This window comes from Homo sapiens, chromosome 6 (assembly GCF_000001405.40).
Source record: "Homo sapiens chromosome 6, GRCh38.p14 Primary Assembly".
In the NCBI taxonomy this organism is placed as follows: Eukaryota; Metazoa; Chordata; class Mammalia; order Primates; family Hominidae; genus Homo; species Homo sapiens.
In genome coordinates this window covers 72,301,576-72,327,763 of record NC_000006.12, presented here as the reverse complement: position 1 = coordinate 72,327,763, position 26,188 = coordinate 72,301,576, and the positions used below count along the sequence as shown (strand labels likewise).

Sequence of the window (26,188 nt, the reverse complement as noted above, 5' to 3'; positions counted from 1 at the left end):
TTTTGGCTTAACAGCAGGTTTATGAAAACCACAATGATATTCTACTTTAAATGTACTAGGATGGCTATAATAAAAAATAGACAATAACAAAGGTTGACTAGAATTAGGAGAAACTGGAGCCGTCAACATTGCTGATGGGGATGTAAAGTGATGCAGCTGCTTTAGAAAATATGATGGCACTTTAAATACAGGTAAACTAGAGCTACCATATGATCCAGCAATTCCATTCCTAAGTATATACTCAAGAGAATCGAAAATATATATCCACACAAACATATATGAACTATTCATATCAAAATTATTCGCAAAAGTCAAAAAGTGGATGGAAACAAAACAAATGCCCATCAACTGATGAATAGAGAAACAAAATGTGTTAAATCCATACAATGAAATATTATCAACCATAAAAAGAAATGAATTTTGGGGACCTCATACTGATAGGTATGGAAAATGAGATCTGGTGGTAATAACACTTTGGTCCACATTATAAATTACACATATGATTTGGTATGAAATAATTAAGCATTAAATGGAAAAGGTGATAAAGTGTCTATACGCATTCAGCCAAATCAAAGATGCCATCAGTATTAAGACACATCATTATTTTATGTATTTTTTTTTGGTGGCTTAAAACAACACAAATTTATTATCTTTCAGTTCTGGAGGTCAGAAGCCCTAAAATCAAGGTGTCAGCTGGGCTATGTTTCATCTGGAGGCTTTAGGGGAGAATATGTTTCTTTGCCTTTTCTAGTTTATGTAGGCTGCCCAAATTCCTTAACTGATGGCCCCTTCCTCTGTCATCAAAGGGAACAATGGCTGGTTGCATACATGTGGAATCACTGTGACCTCTGCTTCTATTGTCATATCTCTGTCTTTGACTGACTCTGCTCCCTCCTTTTTTCACTTATAAGCACTCCTGTTACTACACTGGGCCCACTGGATAACCTTGTACAAGCTCCCTACTTTAAATTCAGACAATAGCAACCTTAATTCCATCTGACACCCCAATTCCCCATTTTTCTGAGGATTATGATATAGGAACCCTTTGTCGGGGGCACATTGTTCTGCCTATCAGACCAAGTAATTCTGGAATGGGGGTATGGAGTCTCTCTCCTAAGAAAGAAAAATGCTAATTAAACGATGACATGCCATCAATTGTAGAATATGTACTGATTGTATAGATGGTAAAATACAAACAAGTAATGTGGATAAAATCAATTAAATTATGGTAACAGACAAACAAGAAACCAATTTAAACAAGAATTTTTAAAAATAATAAAATAACATTAAAGCATCAGAAGCTTACTTTCCCAAACATAGACTGTTACTTATAGATACAGAAGTGATGGGTAATGTAAGACAATCAAATCTGTACCTTCATTTGCCAGACTTTGGCCCATTATTACAATGTAAGGAGGCTGACACAACGTTTTGGAAGAGGATAAAAAACAGAAGTCCTAAAACACCTTCTTTCAGAAAGCAAGAATGTTTTCAGAAGACACGAGGGGCTATGTCAGGATAGTTCCCACTCTTCATGACAAACTTAGCTTAAAAACAATTACAATCAATTTACATACATTCAATCCACTAAAAGAACCTAGAAGTCTACCATAATTCTATTGTAAGCCTTAAGAAGGAACAAGTAGTATAAAGAATAATAATGCATATAAGTTCACAATGATGTTTACAAAAATTTTAAAAGTTAAATAACAAAAATTATATGAGCCCTACACTTACATCTGGATCAATACACAAGTTACTAACCACAAACAGTAGATCAATATTGTTGATCAATATTAAGAAGCCATCTCCAGGCATCCATCCTATAATTTTCAGTGGTCATAACACAGGGACTGGTGATTAATAATCAAGGTGGCATTAAATACCTCCTAAAGGTGTCTGGTGGACCTATTTTGATAATAAGAATCAGAACTAAAAAATGAACTCAAGTTAGATCACTATTTATATTCAATCTCTTCAAGTAAGCTGGACCTTAAGAAGTAATGATCTCTGTAATTTTTATTAAATCTCATTCCCACACACATACATGTGTTGAGTTTTATGTGAAGCTATAAGTAGTCTTCAGTGTTGAGGGCTTATGCACATTTTGTTAGTTTATTCCTAGGTCTTAGATTTATTTCTAGGTATTTTATATTTCTGACTATATTACATTGATGGCATTTTGTAAATTTCATTTCCTAAGGTTTGTTTGTTGCTAGTACATAAAAATAAAATTCCTTTTCATACGTTAACCTTATACCCAGTGACTCTGCAAAATTCATTAATTCTAATAGTTATTATATATATATATTTATATAGACTTCTAGGTTCTTTTAGTGGATTGAATATATGTAAATGGACTGTAATTGTTTTTAAGCTAAGTTTGTCATGAAGAGAAATATTTTATATATTTCCTATATGCATAATCACATAAACTGTAAATAATGATCTATGAATTCATCCATCATTTATCATCCCTCTCTCTATCTGGATTCAATTTGCTAAAATTTTGTTTGGGGTCTCTCTATTTTAATGAGAGATTTTGTCCTATTTTTTCTATCTTGTAATGTCCTTACCAAATGCATCAAGGAAAGGCTGCCATCACCGAGTTTCAAAATGTTCCTTAGGAAAAAATTGTGGAAGATAAGAGTATTTATTCTTTAAATATTTGTAATTATCAGGATCTACCTGGGTCAGGATATTTCTTGGTGAAAAGGTTGAAAACAATTACAGAATCATTTAAGAAACTAAATATATAACTCTTCAGCTTTTTAGTTTATTCTTATGTCATTTTTAGTAAGTTGTACTTTTCAGAAAATTTGTATATTTCATGTAAGTCAGGGTTAGGAAAATTTATTTTGTAAAGGGCCAGATAGTAAATATTTCATACTGACTCTGTTGCAACTACTCGACTCTGTTGCAACCACTCAATTGTTGTGGCGGGAAAACAGCCATAGACGATATATTAGGAAATGGGCATAGATGTGTTCCAGTAAACCTTTATTCACAATAATAGGCAGTGGGCCAGATTTAGCCTGCTGGCCATAGTTTGCTCACTGTGATCTGAATTGAAAAACTTACTATCGTAAGTTGTTTACAATATCATTTATATATCTATAATATGTATTATTGTCCCCTTTCATTCTATGATATTGGTAATTTTTACTGAGTACATTTACTTTTGATGCAATTATTGATACAGATGTAGTTCCATCCACCACTTTCTGTTTATTTGTAGTCATCCCATCTGTTTGTTGTTTTACTTCTCCTTTTGCCTAATTAGGTATTTTTATTATTCCACATTTTTTCAACTATTAGCATCTGAGTTGTGCATTCTTCTATTATGCTATTAGTGACTACCCTAAAGATTAAAATATGCACTTTGACTTACTTAAATCCTCAAGTTAGACATTTTAACCAATTTCAAAATAATGCAAGATCTGTACAATAACTTACTTCCATTTACTCCCCTCCCACCTTTCACTCAGGTATTTTATATATTTTTCACGTCTACATATGTTTTAACTACCACAAGATGTTGTTTTTATCATTATGAACTCTTTCCAATGTTCTTCATTCTTCCTCAAGGCTAGTGCTTCCAACTGGAGATACTTTTCTTCAACATGAACTCCCATTAGTATTTTTTGTAGTGCTGGTCACCTCATGATGAATTCTCTTTGTTCTCTATCTATCTATCTATCTATCTATCTATCTATCTATCTATCTATCTATCTATGCATGCATGCACTCATTTATTTATTTCCTGAAAGATATTTCTGGGTAATATTTACTAAGCATAAAATTGTAAGTTGGACATTTTTGTTTTTTCCTTTCAGAGTTCTTTCTTTTGGCCATTCCATCAAATTTGGGGTCTCATAATATGTGCTGAAATTTCAGCTAGTCATATCTTTGCTTCTCCAAAGATATTATCTCTTTTTTCCCCTGAGATTCTTTTAAGAAATGTTTTCCTTTAGTTTTCTGTACTTTGATTACAATAATGCTGATTTTTTTCTCTCTTACATATATTATTGGGTATGTAAAGATTTCAGATTTGTAATTTGATGTCTTTTATCAGTCCTGGAAAATTGTCGGTCTGTAATTCAGTATTCAAGTGTTGCTTCTGTCATTTCCTCTCCTTCTGGGACTCTATATACATTAGAATTTTTCATCATGTTCAACTTGTTTATATTCTCCTCCAATTTCTGTCTCTTCTCTCTGTACATCAACTCCTATACTTTCTACTGACTAGTTCATTAATCCTTGGTTTTACTGTTTCTCATATGTCATTAAACCCACTATTACTTTTTTTTAATTTTTAAATTATAATTTAATTTTTTAAAATGGATTCCAGGTCTCTGTTAAATAATCCATCCTCCTTTGATTTCTTTAACATATTAATCACAGATATTTTAAAGTCTCTCTCTATTTGATAACTCTTGTTAGTGTTTAGCCAGGTAGTCCTTTTTCTCGTTGTTAAACATGACTCATAAATTTTAATCAGATGTAAAACTGTGTGGATGAAACCCTGTGGAGGCTCTGTATGATATTATTTTCCTCCAAAATAGGTAAAATTCTCATTTGATTGACAGAAAGATTTCGTCTTGTTCTTGTACAGAGTTTGGGTTTAAAGATTTGCTATTATTCACAGAGTGTAATGCTTATTTCTAGAGTTTGGCCCTTCTGAGATATTTAAAAGAAATCAAAAGTGTTTGTCATACCCCTCTAACTATGGGAACTTGAAGTCCAATCCATCTCCCCAGCACTGGCAGCTGCTGGAATTTGTGCTTGGCTCTTTGGCCTTCCAGCTGCTGCTTTTTGTTTGCTTTCCTGGAAACTTCCCTGTGCATAGACAGGTCACTGGTCAACGTATGAAGGAATTCTATAGCAAAATTTGAAGCCTTCCACCCTCACAATTTCCAGTTTCTCTGTCAGTTCCTGAATTGTGAAATTTATTTTCTCAGCCTAGTAAGTAAGAACACTGCTCTCTGCTTACGGCTCTATTATCCTATGTCACCAAATTGGAAAGTAACTTCAGAGGAAACTAGGATGAACTTACCACTTACCTTGTGTTTTCCCCTCCTTTCAAAAATTGAAACTACTCAAATTTCTGCCTGCTTTGTTGCTCTCAAAGGCCTTCCAATAGTTTTTGCTGTTGTTGTTCATTATTTGTTCTTGTTCATTATTTGTTCTTGTTCAGCTTTTATAGTTTTATATGTGGAGAAGTTAGTCTGATATAAACTATACTGTCATGCCTGGGGAACTGTGACCATGTAATATTATTGCTTATTTTTGAATAAGGGTAGAATTAGACCAGTTATGTTGTTATCAAAATGTTCATAGGATTTCATAATGAAGACATACGTTAAAATCATGCTATACCAGTTTATTTGTAAATTATACTGAATAGCTTTTGCCACATTGATTCCTATATACAGTCCCCCAATACCCTGCTTCTGCCACAGAATGGCAGACCTGAGATGGTCCTCTTCTGAGTCCATGTAGTCTGCTACTATGAGGTATAAAATACTGTTTCAAGGTGCTCCAGGGCTAAAACTTCCCCTAGCTCTTACATATTCTAGAAGGGAATTTTTCATTGGACTTTTTAAGGCTGTGACATTTATTTTAGAGAGCTTCACATTCTGTTCAATAGCTGAACAAGTAAGCAACTATTTTTGGCATTTCCTCTCATTTTGGTTCAGATTTCACTGAATTTGAAAATTGCTTTCTATAGCTTATTATTTACAGATGTGGTTAAATCCTAGTTTCATGTTAGATGGAGTTTTTAGTCTTTTTAGTCTTCTTATAAAATTGAGGTGAGTAAACACATCTGTTCTCTGTAACTTTAAATCTGTGATCATGAGTTCTCTTTGAGAAGTAAAATGAGTAGGCCTTGATGACTCATTTGAACATGCATTCCCATTGGGAGTGATACTGTCCCCAGAAGGGGATAACTGATTCTTGGTGAAGGTAGAGGGAACAAAAAAATCTTAGATAATACAATGGTTAGTGGTCCTCCAAAGGCCTGCAGTATATAAATAGTATGTCTCTAGTATTAAAATTTCATGTAAGGAGGGCAATTAGGAAAGGAACACCTAAAAGATCCCTTAGGGGAGTGATAATAAAAAGGATTGAGAAATATTGAATTAGGAAGAGGACTGGGGAGAGGTAAAAATCTGGGTGGCTTCCAGTTCTTTGATTTGGGAACTGGGTGGATAATGGTGTAAAAAGCATATAATTATTCTGTTAAAATACTAAACAAGCCGATAATGTTTTCATACTTGTTCTAATAAATGTTGTTTTACAAGTAACCAGTTAAGAATACATCTGCTCATGTATTTCTAATCTATTGTAAATGCAACACATACAAAAACAAATGCATACTTAAACAAAAGCTGATATACATACTCAGTGAATACCAAAACATGAGAAAACAATTACTTACATCATGTATGGACCATAAAACTATATAAATGAGTCACAAATAATAAAGTCATAAAATTAAAGATGAATACACACAAATGCTGCCTTGATATATCTGTTGTAGTTTACAAAGTAACAAATAATACAACTAATTTGTTGTATTAGTGATTCAGAAAGCTTTGAAAATATTTCCACTAATTATAAGGAAATAGCATATATGCCATCTTGAGGATACATCAAGGTCTATGCTTTCTTTATTCATTATGCTGCATAAGTAGTACGTATACAGTTAGCAAATATCAATCAATCCGCACTTGGTTATCATGTCTATGCTTTAAGAGAGTCTAGCTGAAATCAAGGTAATCATATGTTAAAATGAGTAAAGAAACAAAGCTTTAAATGATGACTTTCTAAATGAATAAAAAAGATAAAGTAAAAATATACTTTAAAAATTTTACTATATTGCTTTAAATTGAACATATATCAAGAGTAGTATAAAAAAGCATAGTATAAAGTCTATTAACTGTACAAGCTGAAGTAATGAGCTTGGAAATAATATATATTTCCCTGGACAATCTATATAATGCTATTTAAAGCTAAAATGCTAAAAAACAATAATAAGTATTTATCTCATATACCAAGTGTATAATAAACATAATATATAGTAGAAAAACAGACCAACTAAGACCAATATAGAACATTCTAGTAGTTTTCTTTTTCTTTGGAATTTGTTTTTTCTTAGTGTATTATACTGAAGTTTCACTATACATTGCATAATCCTTCAGCCAAATTATGGTACTATCTGAATTTTAAAAACAGGTAATAACTAGAGAAGTAGAACCACATCTCATATTTTAATTTTCTCCTTGGAAGTAATAGCACTAGAATTTACTGTGCCATATATTTTGGTTTACAATATGTTTTTAAAGCAGCAGTGCCTGGCTTCCTTTTTAAAAATAAACTACTTCACAGACTTCTGTTGTACTAAACAAATACTAGTAGAACTGCTTTAGTTGAAGTTGCTGAAGTCCTGCAGTCTAGGAATTCTCCTCCCCGTTTAGTTTTTCTCCTGCTCCTTGGACAACTTTCTCCTGTCTATCAGGCAATTCTTGGAGACAATAAGGTTCATTAGAACACCAACAGTCCATGGGCATAACTTTGAAAAACACTCGAATAAAACTGAACTCTTCAAGTGTCAAATCCAACTGTTAAATTCATCCAACTCACCATGAAGCACTGTGAAGTGGATAAGTTAAATATTAGTAATCAAAATTCGAATTTTAAATGCCGTTGCACTATATTATGTGTTAGCCGTCTCTCAGAAGACATTCAAGGATGACTTAAAAGTATAAAGTAACTTATCTAATACTTCATACCATGTATGCAGTAACTGAGTTATAAAGCAAAATGCTATATTTTCAAAGTATTCTGATATACACTATTTCATTTTATTCTCAAACAGTCTGGTAAGGTAGGAGTGGCAGGTATGATTCACATTTTTCAGATGAATATACATTTAATATTATTATTACACTTGTATGAAAATCCACTAAAAACATAGATCTAGGAATCATGTGTTTTGTTTTATACTAGATAGTGTACGGCACCTGCGTATAAGATGTACCCAATAAATGACTGGTGAATAAGTAAATGAATAAATCTATGACTAAGTGAAAAAAAATCAAGGTCTAAAGAAGTTGTACACTTGTTGAATGAAGCTCTCAATATTGGTTAGTAGAAGTACTGAGCCATAGCTGACAGAACCAAAGATTCACATCTGAGTCAAAAGCAGTCTTTAAGGGCAGGCTGGTAGTCTTCACATTGTCCTGGCATAGGAACTCTGATCACAAGATGCTGTTTATTCAGCAATCACTAACCATTCCCTTAACTTCAGGCTCACTTCATTCTTCTCCCTTATATTCAATATCCTCTGAGACTTCAGAATCTCTTTCTCAGTTTGAGCTGTATCAACCTTTACCTCCCACATTAGTTCTTCATTCTCCTCCTTCCATTACACCTCATGACTGAAATGGTCCTGTCTCTGCTGGCACTCTCTTCTTTCCTGAAAGTTTTCCAGTTCTTGGCTCCCTTCACCATCTCCTTCTATGTTCCTGATTGTTATTTTTCTTAAGCCCCTTAGATATTACTTCCAGTTTAACATCCAACTCTGCTTGCTCTGCCTTGGCATTTGCCCTCTAACTTGGGATAAAGTCTCTAGGGCCATGATCCTTCTTACTTTTCACACCTACATGTTTTTTCTTATTTATTAATTATTTTTAAATATTATCCTTTTCAAGTAAGCAAATTTAAAAAAAAATTTTAAAAAATGGTAACACATCAAATATGAACTATTTCTGGCAGTATGGTAGATGATATATTCTGATTCTAAAAAATCCTTTCACTTCCAAATGCCTAGTAATTATGATGGGAAAATTACAACAAATGCCTGTTAAAATACCAACTTGAGGTCACAAGAAAGAAAGGCATATGTCCTTAGCCAAAAACCAAACGAGAACTAAAACAGGTCGGTAAGTGAATGATGAATCTTTGGAAACCTTTCAGGTCTAGTGAGGAGTTAGAACTGAAATCCTCATGAGTCAAGACCCTTAAAGAACAACAAGGAAAAACGTGTGTCTCAGTCTAAGCTCTCACAGACCCTCACTGGTGGCTTTCTAATGCACTTTTCTCAGAGAGGAGAATGATCCAGAATGAAGGTCTAAGATGCACGAAAAATGGTTAGCAAAGAAACTAGAATACATATGGTTTAATATAAGGCATTTAAAAAAATAACATGCAATAAGGGGAAAATGAACCAATCTATAATTAAAACATTGTACAAGAATATGCAAATGGGGGAGGGATAGTAGCACAGCGAAGCATATGACAGTCATTTTTTTTCCTAGGAGAAAGTAGAGGTAATTATTAATTTTAAATTGACTACTTAACAAAATTTATATACTTGAGAAACTAGTCAGTAAAAATCACAGAAACTGCATAATTTCCAGTGTAATGGAGGGGGGAAATGAAAGAAAAATAATTCAATTAAAAACCGATCAGGAAAGAGAAAAAATAGAATAAGAAAAATTAAAAGCATACACCAATATAGAAGTAATTCCAAGTCTATAAGAATCAAAATAAATGCAAATTGATAAGCTAGCCAATTAAATGATAGAGATTGTGTGGTCAGAAAAAAATTAAACCTAGCTATTTGCTGTTTATGTGAGTATAACACATTGGTCATAGAAAAGTTGACACAAAAAGATGTGAACAGTGAATAGTTAGATTGAACACTAACTGAAAATAGCTTGTGTTATCATGTAAGAAAAACTGACTTTAAAACAAAATAATATTATAAGGAATAAAGAGATTTATTACATAATGATAAAAGGTTAAATCGCCAGAAAGACAAAATAATTCTGAACTTGAACCTAATTAAGTAATCTCATATAAGAAAAAATGGACAGAATAATAAAGAAGTTGACAAATCCTCTTCATAGATCTTAACTGAGCATTTTCAGTAAATACCAAATCGAATAGGCAAAAGAGTAGTAAAGCAATTGAAGTTCGGAACAGTGTAGATAATAAGCTTCATGTATTGGATATATAGATAACTCTAACTCAAGATTTTCATATGCATCACAAAAATCCAAGGATTACTTTTGAATTTTATCCTGTATTGCCTTACTGAATTGAAGAACTATTGTGAAATAAGGGGCATTTGAAATTATTTTCTATAACACTTTTCAAACATAACTGTAATATCAAGATTGACATTCCAGAATATATTAACTTCTATATTTGTTATCACAACTTAAAATATAAAATAATTTAATCTATATTGTTTTAAAATCCTCAAATAAATAGAAGAACATTCCTTTCAGTATATGCTTACTGATTATTATGCCTACTGACATCAAATGCCAAATTTTACTAAATGTATAGTTGTGGACCCTGCAAAGCTCCAGGCCAAGGGCAACTTCTGGGCGGTCGACATAAGCCTGATCCCAGCAGAGTCGCTATGGTGGCAGAACACAGCCCTGTGCAGGTGCTGGCAGAACTGGGGTGCATGTGGAGCCTTCACCAAGGACCTGCGGCCCTACTTGCTGCGAGATGCTCCCAGTCCCCTGCTGCCACCCCGTGAGGGCTTCAGCATCAAGTCCCTGCTAGGGGACTCTGGGGAGGGGGCACCCTGGTCGGGACTGGTGCCACAGAGCAGCCCAGCTCCTTCAGGCATGGGGAGCAGTGGGGAGGAGGTGGTGCCCACCCCACCCCTGCCCTCCTCTGAGAGGCCTCTGTGGCCTCTCTGCCCTCTTCCCAGCCCCATAAGAATGGAGGGGGAGGCTTCCCAGCAGGGAGCCACTGGGCCCTCGACCCTCTCCACAGAGCCTAGGGCCTGGTCTCTCCACTCTACTGCAGGACACCTCAGTTCTTGGGTGGCTGTCCAGTGGGGGACACAGGGCCTCCCCCTGGGGGCAGCTGCCCACCTCCTACTTGCCTATCTACACTCCCAATGTGGTAATGCCCTTGGCACCACCACCCACCTACTGTCCCCAGTGTCTACCGTCAACTGGCCCTGCCTACTAGGGAGTGGCCTCTGAAACCAGAGGGCCCCCAGGCTGCTCTGGGATCTAGACACCCTCTTCCAGGAGGTGCCACCCAATAAAAGCATCTATGACATTTGGGTCAGCCATGCTTGGGACCTGGTGGCTCCTGCTCCAGGCTGGTTGCTCTCTTGGTGCAGCCTGTGAGGCTCCTAAGGCAGGGGCTCCTCCTCCCTCCACCTCCCATCCCCAGCTTCTTGATAGGGAGCCAAGGCCAGGAGGGTGTCTGCAACCACAGCAGCCTCAAAACACCAGGTAGCAGCCTTGCTGAGCATCCACGGTATTTATTGGACTACCCCACGCGTGGTTGTGGCCAGCTGGGCATGACCCTGATCCTGGTCATGCCTCTGTTTCCCCTATACCCAGAGGCAAGGCTGGAGGAGCAGGGCTGAGCCTGGAATAGCCCTTCCTTGTCTCCTCTTCTCTGTCCACCACCCATCCATCTGTCACCAGGTATCACCTCCCCTCCTGTGCTCCAAGCTGGGGGAGGGAGAGCCTAATGGTAGATCCAGCCTGAAGTCCTGCCCTCTCTCATCTGTCTGGGAAGGAGGTAGCACCTTTTTTGGGAAAAAGGTTAGGGAGTAGACTGGACCCTACATGGTCATGGTGGTGGGGAAGATAACAGGAATTTACAATGTTTTTTTTTGTTTTGTTTGTTTTAAAAAGAAGATAATAAAGTCCTTACACATGATAGGAACAAAAAACTTTGCTGCTTATTATTACAACTTATATGTAAATATATTCTATCATTATAATTAATTAGCTGAGTAAACAACTATAGAAATTATGCAGATGTTAGTTGCTAAAAAATAAAGAAGAAACAGTAATATATTAAGAAAAATTATTCCTCATAGTGTTACCTATAAGGGCAGGGAATATTTACATCTGAAGAGCCTGCAATGCTTGTTCACAGGACTTTGATGCTTTTATGCTGATGTCATTTTATTCTTTATCATTCCAAACTATCACCTCTCAGGTTTTTACCACAGGATTGACGAGGGAAGCAAAATAACTCCATGTGTTTGTGTGTCTCTGTGTGTGTGTGTGTGTGTACTGCTGCATGTGTGTCTATGAGAATATGTAGACAGAAGAATGCATATGAAGGGATAACTAGTCTACGAATGTCAGAAGAGAAGACGTGTCACATCTTATTTTTTCTCTCTATTCTTCCTAATTATTCTAAGAGCAAATATGTACCGCATATGACAAATCACTGACATACAGTATGAGATTACAAGAAAAGTAGCTCTTTATGTTAGCTTAAGGGGAAACTTGTTTAACTATTAGCTGTAGTGCTTAAATTTACATAATCCACTTACATAAAATAAACTCTCAGTTTATATGGGTTTTAAACTACAAAGAAGGGAAAGGAAGCTGAAAACAAAAAAGTGCTTAGAGAAAATAGATTTATCACTAAGAAGTTTATTTATACTCTTTTTAGGTCCACCCCTCTTCTCACCATCTTCACTAAATATGAAAATTCATACGAAGCAATGAAGCAAAAAAATCCTCTATCTTTTGCTTCTTGTCATGATATGGTTATAGTCCATGCTGATTTGTTGAGTTGCCATGTTCTCCACAAAGTAACACTGGTTCCAATACACTACTAACATGTAGTTTTCCCCATTCTCCTTGTATAAAATCATAGTCTCTTGTCATTGTTTTCCTATTCTTTCTAAAAGAAATCACATAGCCAAATTTTATAGGAAGATAAATTTTTGAAGAATCCTACTTCTGAAATTTTAGGAGAATGAAAATGAACTCACAAGTTATTCTATGCAATTGGTTAGTAATACAAATTCTATTCACTAGTACTACTTTAAAGCATAGGGCTCAAGGTACTTGGCTCTACAGTGAATACAAACAAAAATTACTTCAAATTGTTTTCAGTGAATAAGGTAAAAAAAAAGTCCTTGGTTACATCCTATTTATTACATTCTTTGGTAATTCAACAGTTTAAAAAACATTCTATCTTATTAAGAATTCAATAAAAAGGAATCTATAAGAATACTTCTTACCCCTTGATCTTAGCTTAATATGGCTACATTCTTGAGCTCTTATAATTCTTCCTTAAATTTTAAAGAACTTTATATTCTTTTAGAGTCAGATGCTGAGAACACCAAAAGTAAAGATAAAAGATTTTCTACTAATATCTTTATCAGTTGAAATTGCTCATGTTAGATTATCAGAGTATGAAATTGTTAAATAACAGCAGGATGATTACTTTTAATTTGCTTCAACAAACAAGAGAGAATTTTCAAAATTCAATTCATTGTACATCATCAAAATGTGCACTAACATCAGCCTTTCAGAGTATTGGAAAAGTGTTTGTTCATATTTTTAACACTTATATTTATTGGACCTCTCATCAACACCAAAATTCCTTAAATTGTAATAAATTTTTAGGTTACACGACTATAACTATATGAAACTTTGACTTCTGAAAACTAGTAAAGAACTAATACAAAATATGTTTTGTCCATAATCAATCTGCTTTAGTTTAGATAGCACTTGGATGTCTGGGGTCTTTTCCCTTTCAGCAGGGTATTTGTCTTTTAAGAATACAAAAGCACTACTGGTGACTTAAACAAAATTGACGCAAATGCCTTTCAACTCATAACGTAACTAGGGATGTCTATTTTGTTAACACATCCACTACACCCACATACACACACACACCCATGTTGATTTATTTATGTAGCTGTCACACTATAATGACATTGTTGAGTAGTTGCCACAAAGACTGTTCTGCAAAGCCTGAAATATTTACTGTCTGTCCCTTTAAAGAATACACTTTCTGATGTTGGACTAAAGGAAGGGAATTTAATCATATTAGAGGAAACTACTACAAATGTGACTCAGAGTGATCTCTAAAATTGTGACTAGGGTTATAAGCTGTATCTGATAGTAGTCAATACTAAACATTCTGTTGGCAATACTACATAGTAGTCGATAAATACTTAACCCACTGTGACCTAAACTGTATTATAGAAAAAATATTCAGGAAGCTAGTTGTATTTTTATATCACAGATAAAGATCCAGTTTATATAAACAGTATTGCCAACTCACCTGATTCTACCCCTGGGGCGCTCAGATTGCTCTGACATAAAGCTTGTGCTGCTGAGGCGTGAGGCACTGCTGGTTCGGGAAATGGCGGAAACATCACTGACATCACTATCTGATGATTTGGCAGAGACGTTATCACAGCTTCTGTACTGATCTTTATGTATGTTATACTAAAGATTAAAAACAAGAAAGTGTGAGCTCCATCATTAGACAATGGAAAAAACATAGATGGTGAGATGAATGACTACTTAGCCCACACCAAATAAAGGTGTACCTTCATAAGAGTAGCTGTAATATCTAAAATAATCCAAATACTACCATATGATTTCCAATATAAAAACATTATCCTTTGAGTGGTAAGAGATGGCTTATGAAGACTGAAATATAAATTAAACACAATCATTAAATGCCTGATTGGAAAAGTCATTAAATTATTTGTACATATTTAGAACCTCAAAAGTGTATTATTCATTTTTTTTCTAGTACATACGCTTCTCTTTTTTGTTTTCATTTTCATTCTTGTCCATTTTATTCACCTTCTACTCTAGTCAAAGTATAGGCTGAGCATTCCTAATCAAAAAATTCAAAATCTGAAGTGCTCCAAAATCCAAAACTTTTTGAGCACTGACATGATGTGTAAAAGAAATGCTCAGTGGAACATTTTGGATTTTCAGATTAGGATGCTCAACTGGAAAATATATAATGTATATAGAAAAAATATACCAAAATATGAAAAAATCCAAAATATGAAACACCTCTGGTCCCAAGCATTTTGGGTAAGGGATACTTGACCTGTATAGACTGCTTCCACCTGTATATAGTTTTTGATACTTTCTAAAACTAGTCAATTTAGTTAAATACTTTCTAAGACATTATAGTGTCTCTAACATTTCTTAAAAATATATAACTTTTCAAAAACAAGGGCTGATATAAACTGAGCAAAGAGGCAGTGACTGGTCTTTAGCTTTCTACTATGGCTTCATTAGACAGTTTCAGATTTAACCTACTAACTTAGAATCAAAAGTAGAATACTGGATCCTTATTAAAATTTCATTGTACATTATATCTTTTATTCAAAGATGCCTTTAAATTTGTCTCTGATATTCATTTCCTAAAATTTTAGGAATCATCAAATAAAAGATTAAAATATGCAAAGCTGTCAAAGCAGTTAAGCTACTCTTATTTCTACTTCACTGTCTTATTGTGATGAACCACACAGTGAATAGCTTATATATTACATATTATTTTTATATATGTTATAATTGTAATAAATAGGTTACATAACTATAAATAACTGAAAGATACCTAAAATGTGAGTAGTTTTCTTAGATACTGGAAGGTAAGATACTATAACTTCTTCTGTAAAACAAAATAACATATGGGTGTTTGTTTCTTAGCAAGCAATTTAATTTTAGATTTATGAGAAATAAAGTATGAAATATCAAATGTTTATTAAACCTGTAGAAAAAGTCATCTATCCTTTGTGATGTTCCATGTCAGAGGAATTTTAATGAATTTGAACTGTCTTGCTAAAACATACTAAATTAACTGATGCTACAACCTGGATTTATAGGTACTAAAAAGAAGATTAGACAATAACACTTAAAAATTACCCTAGAGAAAGGTCTCATGTTTATTTAATAATTTCTTACATGAGAGTAGTTTAGGACTGAAACATTAAATGTGAGTTCTGTTCTTGTTTTTGGAGACAGATTCTCCCTCTGTTGCCCAGGCTGGAGTGCAGTGGCGCGATCCTGGCTCACTCCAACCTTAGCCTCCCAGATTTAAGCAATTCTCCTGCCTCAGCCTCCCAAGTAGCTGGGACTACAGGCGCACGGTGCCACACCTGGCTAGTTTTTTGTATTTTAGTAGAGACGGGGTTTCACCGTGTTACCCAGGCTGGTCTTAAACTCCTGACCTCAGACAATCCACCCACCTCGGCCTCCCTAAATGTGATTTTTATTTCTTTACCTCTCATGTGTATGTGTTGATAAAAGAATTTCATATCAGGCATGAAAATAATTCCCAACATATAGGATATATATACAATTAGTTTTCCCAAGGATTTTTCATAATTGTGTGATTTATCTCTCAAAGTCATATGCCAAATTAGAATTCAAAGGAAATTCATATGTTATTATATCTAAACTGAGCTATTAATATTTATATGATTTCATGTTTGATCTAAAATTAATGTGATTTAAGACAATGTACTGAAAGCAATGTGACAATATGGTTTACCAGCAAATTCAGTTATATTTAATAACATGATTCTGACTAACACAATTCATTTTAATCAGATCTGTTTTCAATTTACAGAGTATATGTGCTAAAAACTCAATTATGTTCAAAGAGTAGAACCTGAATTTAACACTGTTGCTGCGTTACAAACACAACTCCTGTATTATTGGTTTTTTGAAACACTGTGCTAAAAGAGAGATGCTATGTAATTATTGTCTCCAAATGTATTGGGATGATACCTTGCCCATGACAGAATATGAAATAATCCCTGTTTTGGGTGTTAGCATTGTGCTGATACCCAGAGCAAATGCTCCCCTTATTTGATATTTGACAATATTAAGCAGTGTACACTAAAGCATAAAGGTATGTGAATGTATATGAAAATATTTTTCCAACAAAAATATTTTTAGTTGGAAATAAGCCAAAAGATGGCTTTACTTAAGCCATCTTTTCTTCAACCTTTTTGTATACAGACCTTTGTTATTCCAGAAAGTGGACAAAAAGGGATTTCAAAAATTATGTCATAATACATTTTTTATATTGAGATAAAGAATAATCTATCATTCTGATATGATATCACAGTTTTATTCACATTGATTATTTGAAGAAAGTGAAATACTTTTATATTCACTTTTAACTAATATGTTAACATTTTAATCACTGAATTTCATCAGGCATGATCTGTTAAATTTTGAATGTAACAATTTAATATTTTAATGGAAATACATAAAATATATTTTGAGGAACATAATTCCTCAGAAGGAATTTCTACCGATCCTACAGAGGGCAAATAAGTCATTGATGTGAGAGAAATAATTAAACACTACTATTTTTAGAAGTAAGTAATAATAAACACTCTTCAGCTACCTACAAAACCCATCACATCACTCTCGGTTGCTGTTCCTGGGTTACATAAACACAAACATAAACATTCTTTAAATTGTGAGTACCTAAATGTGAATTCACCTCTAATTATGAATTTCACTTCATCATTAAGGTATGCCACTCTGTATACCACCAATAAAAAAAAAATAGAATGGTGACACATTTCAAGGATACCTAAACAGCATTGTTGTGCTTTTTCAAAAGCAAAGTTAGTCCTAATTCCTTACTCAGGATGGATGTTAGGGTCATTTAGTCTTCTAAAAGACATACTAGGTTTCAAGAAGCATCTCAGGAATTACAGTTGTCTGACAATGTTTTGCCCTGAAAAAAAGTCCAGTTCTACTAGTGGTTGGTTAAAAGTATTTGAGAATAGTTAACTAACTTTGGCTTGGCATAAATTTCAACTAATGTTCATTGCTTCGTCCAAAATGTCAAATGGATTAAGATACTAAAAAAGAGTCAATAACAGAATAAAGTTCAAAATTTAATGAATATAAAATTTGTGCCAATACTGGCTCTTAATTATAGCCATAAAAATAGATCTTTATAAAATAGTTATAAAATACTTGATGTAGAATAAAAATGAAAAAGATAATTTCTCAAGTATATGCAAAAGGCTTGAATTAACAAAAATGGCTACTGAAAACAAAAAAATTCTATTGTATGTGTTAGTATATAATATAAATATTAGAGATGTGGAGAGTATTTTATCTTCTACTTGACATATAAGAAAAGGCTAATCATTTGTTTTATTTTATATAATTTCCTATCCTATATTCTTACAAGTTTTTAAAGCTACCATATCTTTGATCTCATATTTAGTTATTACAATTTTATTTAACATAGTAGTATCTATTCAGTAAGAGCCATAGTACTATATCTGAAAGTAATAGGTTTTAAAATAGTCAAATGCAAAGAGAGAGAGGAAAAGAAAAAGGGTGCCTATGCAAAGGAGGGAGGAAAGATAGAATATGCTAATCTAATTTTTAGGTAAATTGAAAGCCACATGGAGACCTTTGAATCAATCTAGAGTAATGTGTTCATTTCAATGATGTAAGTAGAACAAAGTCATACCCTAAGTCCCAAATCCATTGTTATAGGCCTCTTCACTATACAGAGAGGCTCTACTAATTTTAACACAAATTTTAATTAATTACCTCTTTCATTCTGAGCCCCAGTTGTCATAAATTTGGTAAATAAGTGAGCTGGAGTAGAAGATTTTGAGTTATTTTCAAGTTTTTAAGTTATGAGTCAGAGAATTTGGAGTCTGCACACCTACCTTTGGTTTACTATGACTACTAGTGGTGGTTTAGACTTCTGAGTACTTCATTTTGTCGATTTTTTGGATCGACTAATTAATGATCAGAATCCCAGCTCAGGATGATCCAGAAAGGCTTTCAGTATTTTACCCTGATTCTTTACTCGCCTCTTTCTTGTTTCCTATACTGGCTCTACCTCTCCTTGCTGTTCTATTTGACCTCATCTTTTGAAATAAAGCTAAGAAACTGATAAAAATTTCCAGCTTAAAAGGAGCATTTCCAGTTTAAAGAAACTTTCAAATAACTGCATCCAACTGTAGAGGGAAAACAAAACCCCAAATTACCCTGCCTTCTAATTCTCACTGCATTTGTAGTAAGAAAACAAAAACGATGATGATATCTATGAAGACAGATAAGTAGGCTGATTAGGTGATAATACCATAAATAACAAGTTGCAGACAAGATAAACCTGTATGGAGCTGAAATAGGCAATACTACGGGACATCAGGTTATTTTGCTTACCATTTTTTTGGTAAGACTCTTAGGGAGTTGAGCATCACTGAATCACAGTGACCCTCCACACTGTCTCATTTGGAAGCCCTTCTGCATCTAACCTAACATGTAAAGTGACAGACTGTATCAAACACACATGACTCTATGGTAGTCTTGGTGATAAATCGTATTTTGTAGCCACCTCTTTTTATTTTATTTTTTTATTAGTCACAGAATATCTGGAAAGATAATGAACCACTTACACTGCTTAAAAATAAGTAGGTTTTTCTAGGTCCATATTTCAAGCTAATAATATTAATTTAGTGTAGTTTTATTTACTTTTGATTTCTAATAGCTTATTACCTCCCAAAGAGTTTGTTGATATTAAATTACAACAAAGGTCAACCTATAATGGCTGCTGCTACTTTTGTAGTATTCTATAAAGAAAAAAAGCTTTTAAATAAACCAGATAATATATTTAAAATTACTTCATGAAGAACAAAAATCTATGCTATTTTATTTAAAATTATCAGATATTAGCAGTTTATAAACTCCTTGGTGTTTCCTTAGAAAATATTATTGAAATAAAAATTAAATGCTTATTAGCACTTGAAATTGTGTAAATTTCAGCTTCTAGAAGTTTGAAATCAGTTACTTTTCTTACTAAAGACAGAGCTGTAAGAAATCTCAAATCACATAATTTTTATCATTCACAAATATCAATAGTCAAATATCAATCCAAAGTTGTACTTAAGACTATAAATATATACCTTAATATCTTAAATGGAATATTTAAATAATGTTCAAGCAACAAAATGGCTTCATATATCTTGCTTATTTATGTGAATTTGACTAATGCTAATCAATCATTAAGTGATTTTAATATCAAATATTTACATATTTTTAGAAAAAAATCAAATCCAAGTTAATATTTCAATGAAGTTATATCACACGAAAATATCAAGAGGAAAGAGTTTTTTGTTTTTTTGGCTTTGGTAGAAATTATGATGCAGGACTATCATTTAATGATACCTTTTCTTTTTTTGTTTTTTTAGATGGAGTCTTGCTCTGTCACCCAGGCTGGTGTGCAGTGGTGCGATCTCGGCTCACTGCAACTTCCGCCTCCCAGGTTCAAGGGATTCTCCTACCTCAGCCTCCCAAGTAGCTGGGATTACAGGCGCACGCCCGGCTAATTTTTGTATTTTTTAGTAGAGATGGGGTTTAACCATGTTGGCTGGTCTTGAACTTCTGACCTTAGGTGATGTGCCTGCCTTGGCCTCCCAAACTGCTGGGATTACAGGTGTGAGCTACCATGCCCGGCCCAAATGATAACTTCTCTTATATAATTCGGTGCTTTCTAATCCTGCCTGGTACACACACTACACATTTTTAAAAGGGAAACTATTTGTTGGATACTACTAATTTTACCTTGGAATATTGCTCGCGATCAAGTTCTTGACTAGAACCAGACCCTGTTGTCTGCTTAAATCGATGCACTTTCATTTTCATCTGTCTTGTTCGCTCCTCCACTACTAAGCTTGCTGCAAAAACACATAATGGAAGCCTATTAAAACATGTGAAGAACCTTTCAGGAACTGAATGGTTTAAGATTTCAATGCTTTTGAAATGACTTCAATTAAATAAAATTTAGAAATAACACATGATTAATAAATTAAACAAAAATGCAGAATATACAGTACTAGCAACTGTTAATCTAAAGATGAACATGATTCAAATTACACAGAATGGGGAACGTAAATGTTAGTAACAAAATATACTCTATTTCTTGATTTTATATGAAATATTTTCAATTTCCTTCATAAATGATTATGCGAAACCAAATTTAATTGTAAGAATGTTTTCAATTTAAACAACTGTTTGTTGCATGTACATATATAGAGAAAACAAGTATGCATACTTAGCACATCGCACTATATGCACATGCTTACATGCATGCACACACCCACTTAACACCCTCAGCTAACAGTAGTCACCTAAAAATTGTTTTAATTAATAAGTATCTACTTTATTGAGGCATTCTTATAAATCTTTAATTTCTGTCCGTGGCTTCTCATGACTATTTCCCAGTCCTTAAAACTGACTTACTAAAAGATTAGCTCACTATTCCTTATGGCTATATCCGGACCACATAAATGAAATTCGTAAGTTTGAAAATGAATACATGACTTTCAGCCCTTTAATTTATAATATGTAAAGAATACTTTTAAGCTTTTATTAATCTCCTAAGTAGCAGAGGAGGGCAAGAATTGCAGCCTTTGATAAAGTATGAATTGTTCTAAGTTAGAATCCACCATCAGCAACATCACTTCAAAACCTTGCCTTTAAATTTTGCATTTTTACAAATGAAGGAGAAAGAAACAGCTAAGGTACAGTCATGTGTAGGGTAAACGACTCAAAAGCTTATACCTATGTTGTATGAGACTTATGTTTACTTTATACAACATTTGCCAACTTCCCAGACAACTCAACTTCTGCAACAAGTATTCAGATTTTTAAGTTGTAGGGCTGTGTGTGTGTGTGTGTGAGCATGCGTGTGTGTGTGTATGGAAAATTGCTTATTGGTCACTGATGTAGTGGGAACTTCTGCCAAGAGACTAATGGTTTACAAGTTAATGGAAATGTTGATATGTTTGATTGACTTGGCTGCTGATTTTATCTCTTACAAGGAGTTCATAAAGATATTTGCTGACAATTTTTTTTCCATTGCAATGACTAAATGTGGCCTATCATCCTTGATTATAAAACGCCAACACACACTTTAAAAAAAGAAATCAGTCTGTAACTTTTATTGTGTTCAAGTGCAGACCAATAGCCCAAGAGATAATAAAATTTGGAATTTGTGGCTAAGTGTTTTAATCATACTTTTATCAGTAAATTATAAAATGTTTCACTTTGTTTAAATTCAGCAAATTAGATAACCAATCTCAAATCCCTAACAACCCTTAGTTATGCAAACTAAGCAATGATACACCCCTGCTTTAATAATGTTGACTTCAGAGATAATAAATGGTGACTATTATTACCATTACAGGATAGTTCAATGGAGAGCTTGAGCAATGTGGTTCAGAAATTCATTACTTGGCAACATATAAGGAGTTAAAAGGAGTATTATACAGTAAAATGCTATGTAAGAGTAATTAGAAACTGAGACAGTTATTGAAAAATGTGAGTTATATTTACAAAAGACATATGCAATATAGAAAATGTGAAAATATCTGTTCTCTGTCTTTTGCCTATGGTGTGAGTACTTCTGGGTACACGCTCAATCATTTGCTTTGAGTTCTGAGTAAGTCAAATGGACTGCAAATTTAGTTCTGCTCTATAATTAAAGCTTAAAGCAACTCAAAACAATCTCAATTTGTAATAAAAACAGACTTAAATGGTGTTAGCTTAACTATTCTCATAAAATGATATTAACTTTATTTAAAAATATGTTGACATTGATTAGCCCACAGCTTTGCAAGCTTCACTTTTAGTGCCACGTAATTTTCAGGGTAGATGGTTACTTAGACACGGATAATTATATCCCAATAGCTACTGGCCAGAAGCAGTCTGACACAGATCTAGGGACTGAACCTTGCTAGGACAACACTTCATTTCTCTAAACATTAATAGGATTACTTAGCTTATGCTATAGCTGCATTTAAATCTTTATTTGCAAAATGTAAAACTAAATCATAAAAAGACTGGTAATACAACTAACATGAATCTAAAAATGGTTCTAAATGATTTCATTTTACCTCCCTCAAATCATTACTATACTATATTTACTCCCAATGAAGTTAAAACTGACCTTATTTAATCTGTGAAAGGAAAAAAAAATCTCCAAATTAACATTATGATTCAAAATGATGAGTAGACTCCCCTGACTCTCAATCAAAGATGTAGTTGCTATGCTATCCTCACTCTTGCTCTCGGATTCCAACAAAACCAAAATGCTAATAGCTTATCATTATTTACTCGTAGCAAAAAGCCAAATAATTACATAATATCACACACTTTTTTTAGTACTTTTCATTATTTCCCAATGACATGTGCCTTAGTGCATATTCTGAAATAACTGTTTATACAAGTTATTGTGCTTCAGTAAAAGTTTTTTCATAATCGCTGAAAAACCTTCAGTGTAAATGTGGAAATTCTTTAACTTTGCTAAAGATTTTACCATGTTTATTTTTCAACTATATATCTAGAATAAAATGACATTATTTCTGTATTGCAGATGTGTCAAGCCAAATATTAAGACAAATTTATAAAATAAGACAATTACCACAAATTTGAACCAGAAGGCACGATTCCAATAAGTTATATGATTTATATGGAGAATAGTAGTAATGATTAAAAGTTAATTGAATTCTTGAAATGTGACTGTCTCTCTAGTATCTTAGTATAAGTAAAATTAACTGTAACTCAGACAGCTCAAATATCTTCCTTTAAAAAAAGATTACTGTCATTTAAAATTTTTATATTATTTTAACAATTTTAAACCCAAGAGCAAAACTAAAATAGTAAATAAAGTATTTTCCAATTACCCCACAAATCCTAGCATTACATTCACATTTTAGGAACATTCTGAATGTTAATAGTATTGTAAACTAACTAAATCATTAAAATGCCAGTTGCTATTTCTTTATAGAAAATTTAAAACTGGGAGGCCCTGTGGTTTTTATTTTTAAAAATTTCATAAATGCCACATAATCAAGAGCTAAATAATAACTTTCATTTTTTACAAGAAATGTAATTATCATGCAATTTCATTTAGTCTTTTAATGAAAATTTAGCTTATGTATAATAAAGTCGAAAGATAAAGATATTTACTATAGACTATATTTCAGCATTAATTATAGATTTTGTGATTATAGATCAAAATGTATGTATCTTAGTTCCTCAGATGTAATATTACAATTTTATAAAAATGGGGTTGAAGGGTTGAAATATTTCACTATAAGGTACCAACTGAATTATGTGCCTTATGTTTTAAAAAAATGGTACTTTCAAAAAGCACTTATTAGTTTACAAAAATGTATTTATTGAACAAGATCCATTTTATTTATTCCAACTTTATATACATTGTTCTTTCCAAACTATGGCTTTTTTAATATTAATCTATGTATGTCACAAATCAATTCAATGTTAAAATTAAGAAAGTATAAAACTGGAACTTATTTTTAAGAGTTAAATGAAAACCATATCTGTGAAATAATTTCTTGTCTTCTAAAGCTCAACAAGAAGGAATCTGACTGGAGTATGCAAGATAAGAAAAATAAATATAATTTACAAAGTACTGTAATTATTACAATTTTCAAATGTAAAGTATTAGTATTAAAAATAAAGATATTAAAATAACTACTCTTTTCACATTCTTTGCTAAGGATTCCTAATTTAGTGTTATCAATGATCTTTAATAAATCTATGAAGAAACTAAAATCATTTTATAATCTTGTTTGTCCTATATGCATTTTTCTAGATCTATCCCTTTCATATTATTAAAAGGCCTATGACTTTAAAAAACCCTCAAAAATCCTTAATAAATCTTCCCTAATCCATCATTTAAAATTTTCTATAATATAACCTCCTTCAAAGAGATAAAGTAATTTTCTAGGAAACCTCTTTGACTTATCACATATTTGTAATTTGCTTTAAAATATTGTAAACATTATAGTTATACATAGTTTAGAACGCTTATAATTTAAACTTGCAGTAATATATTTAAAATATTCATAAATTTAATTTATATAAAAATAAATTTGTTTGGATCTCAAAATTCCTTAAATCTTTCACATTTCTCTCTATGCACCTTGAAATTAAAATGAATTTGAAATTTCAGACGTTTGTGTTTATAGGCAAAAAATAATTTATATTGATATATTGTTAAACCTCCTAATATTTTCAAGCATTAGATGAAATATGACTGTAAAAGGACAGAAATAAGTAGAACTTTTATATTATTAAATATATTAATGTAAAAATTATTTTTTAACAAGGTCAGCTCATATATGTATCAAAGTTGACACACAATAACACCTGGACAGGATATTTAAGCCTGTCTAGTTAACTATGATGTGCTATCATATTTTGTGAATGAAAAAACTAGCATCTCTGCTTCCTTGTTGTATAGCAACACAATGAGAGCTCCATGATAGTGCAGTCCCATTCTTGTTCCAGTACATCTCTCAGGAAGAGCAGTGATAAATGACCGCTTATTTGGAAGTTGTCAGGTAGACAGAAGAATATAAATGACACACCTCCTATGCTTCAGTTATTGACTGCAGTGGAAAAAAAAAGCTGAGATTAACAAGAAAAGATGAAAAAGGTTTAGCTAATTGAATCAGTATAGACTATACCAAGACTGAATAGGAAGATCAGATCTGATACATTAAATATCAGAAATATTTAATGTATAAACTATATCTTAAAATATATCAAGAAAGATGGTTTATTTGAAAATTCAAAAATACAATACTAGTCTCTGCCCACAGTTTTTTAGACTTTAGAGAAATAGGAATTGTTTATATGGATAAGCATTCTGCATATACCTGGAATCAATGTGGCAAAATAGTAAGAACCTAGGAATGGGAATTACTAGGCATAGATTACAGTCCTAGATCCATCACCATTCATCAGTTCCTCAATGTTCCTTTGATCAATTCCTGATATATCCCTCCATTACAGAATTTTTATCTGTAAAAAGAAGAGACTGCTCAGAGAACCTTCCAGCAGTTGTAGTCTATGATTCTATAGTATTTCAATAGGGTATTGTTAAAATACTTTTCTTATATTTGCAAAAATAGGAATCTCAATGACTTTGTCTCTTGCTTTATTACCTAATTTCCAGATTTTAAAATTTTCCAATTGACTATAGGTATCACGAGGAAAAAAATTCACCAGTTGTATTTTACACCACTATTTTCTATCATGTTATTTTCCCAATTTAAAAAACATCTGTTCAGGATTGATTCCAGGAACCCACCCACCACATGTACCAAAATTCACGGATGCTCAAGTTTCTTATATAAAATGGCATAGTATTTGTATATAACCTAAGCACCTCATCTCATATACTTTCATCTCTAGGTTACTTATAAGAGCTAATACAAGGAAAATGTCATGTAAATAGTGCCTATATGCATTTTTCTAAATCTATCCCTTTCGTATTATTAAATGGCTTACAACTTAAAAAAATCTCATGAATCTGTTATACTGTA

At 32.9% G+C, this 26,188-nt stretch overlaps 1 protein-coding gene and 1 pseudogene across 89 annotated transcripts in view; one reads left to right on the top strand and one right to left on the bottom strand.

Moving 5' to 3' along the window:
* RIMS1 (regulating synaptic membrane exocytosis 1) overlaps nt 1-26,188 on the bottom strand; it is a 516,596-nt gene that overhangs the window by 75,382 nt on the left and 415,026 nt on the right. For 63 of the 89 annotated variants that reach the window (NM_014989.7, XM_017010517.3, XM_047418419.1 and 60 more), the window contains 2 exons: nt 20,394-20,506; nt 14,092-14,258 (listed from right to left, as the gene is read on the bottom strand). The exons of 25 other annotated variants lie outside the window; for them this stretch is intronic. In NM_014989.7, the coding sequence (NP_055804.2) occupies nt 14,092-14,258; nt 20,394-20,506 (280 nt within the window). Of the gene's footprint in view, nt 1-14,091; nt 14,259-20,393; nt 20,507-24,976; nt 25,250-26,188 lie in introns of those variants that run through there. One more of the 89 variants, NM_001350452.2, reaches the window with a different exon arrangement.
* Nucleotides 10,367-11,362, top strand: LOC100418957 (forkhead box H1 pseudogene; annotated as a pseudogene).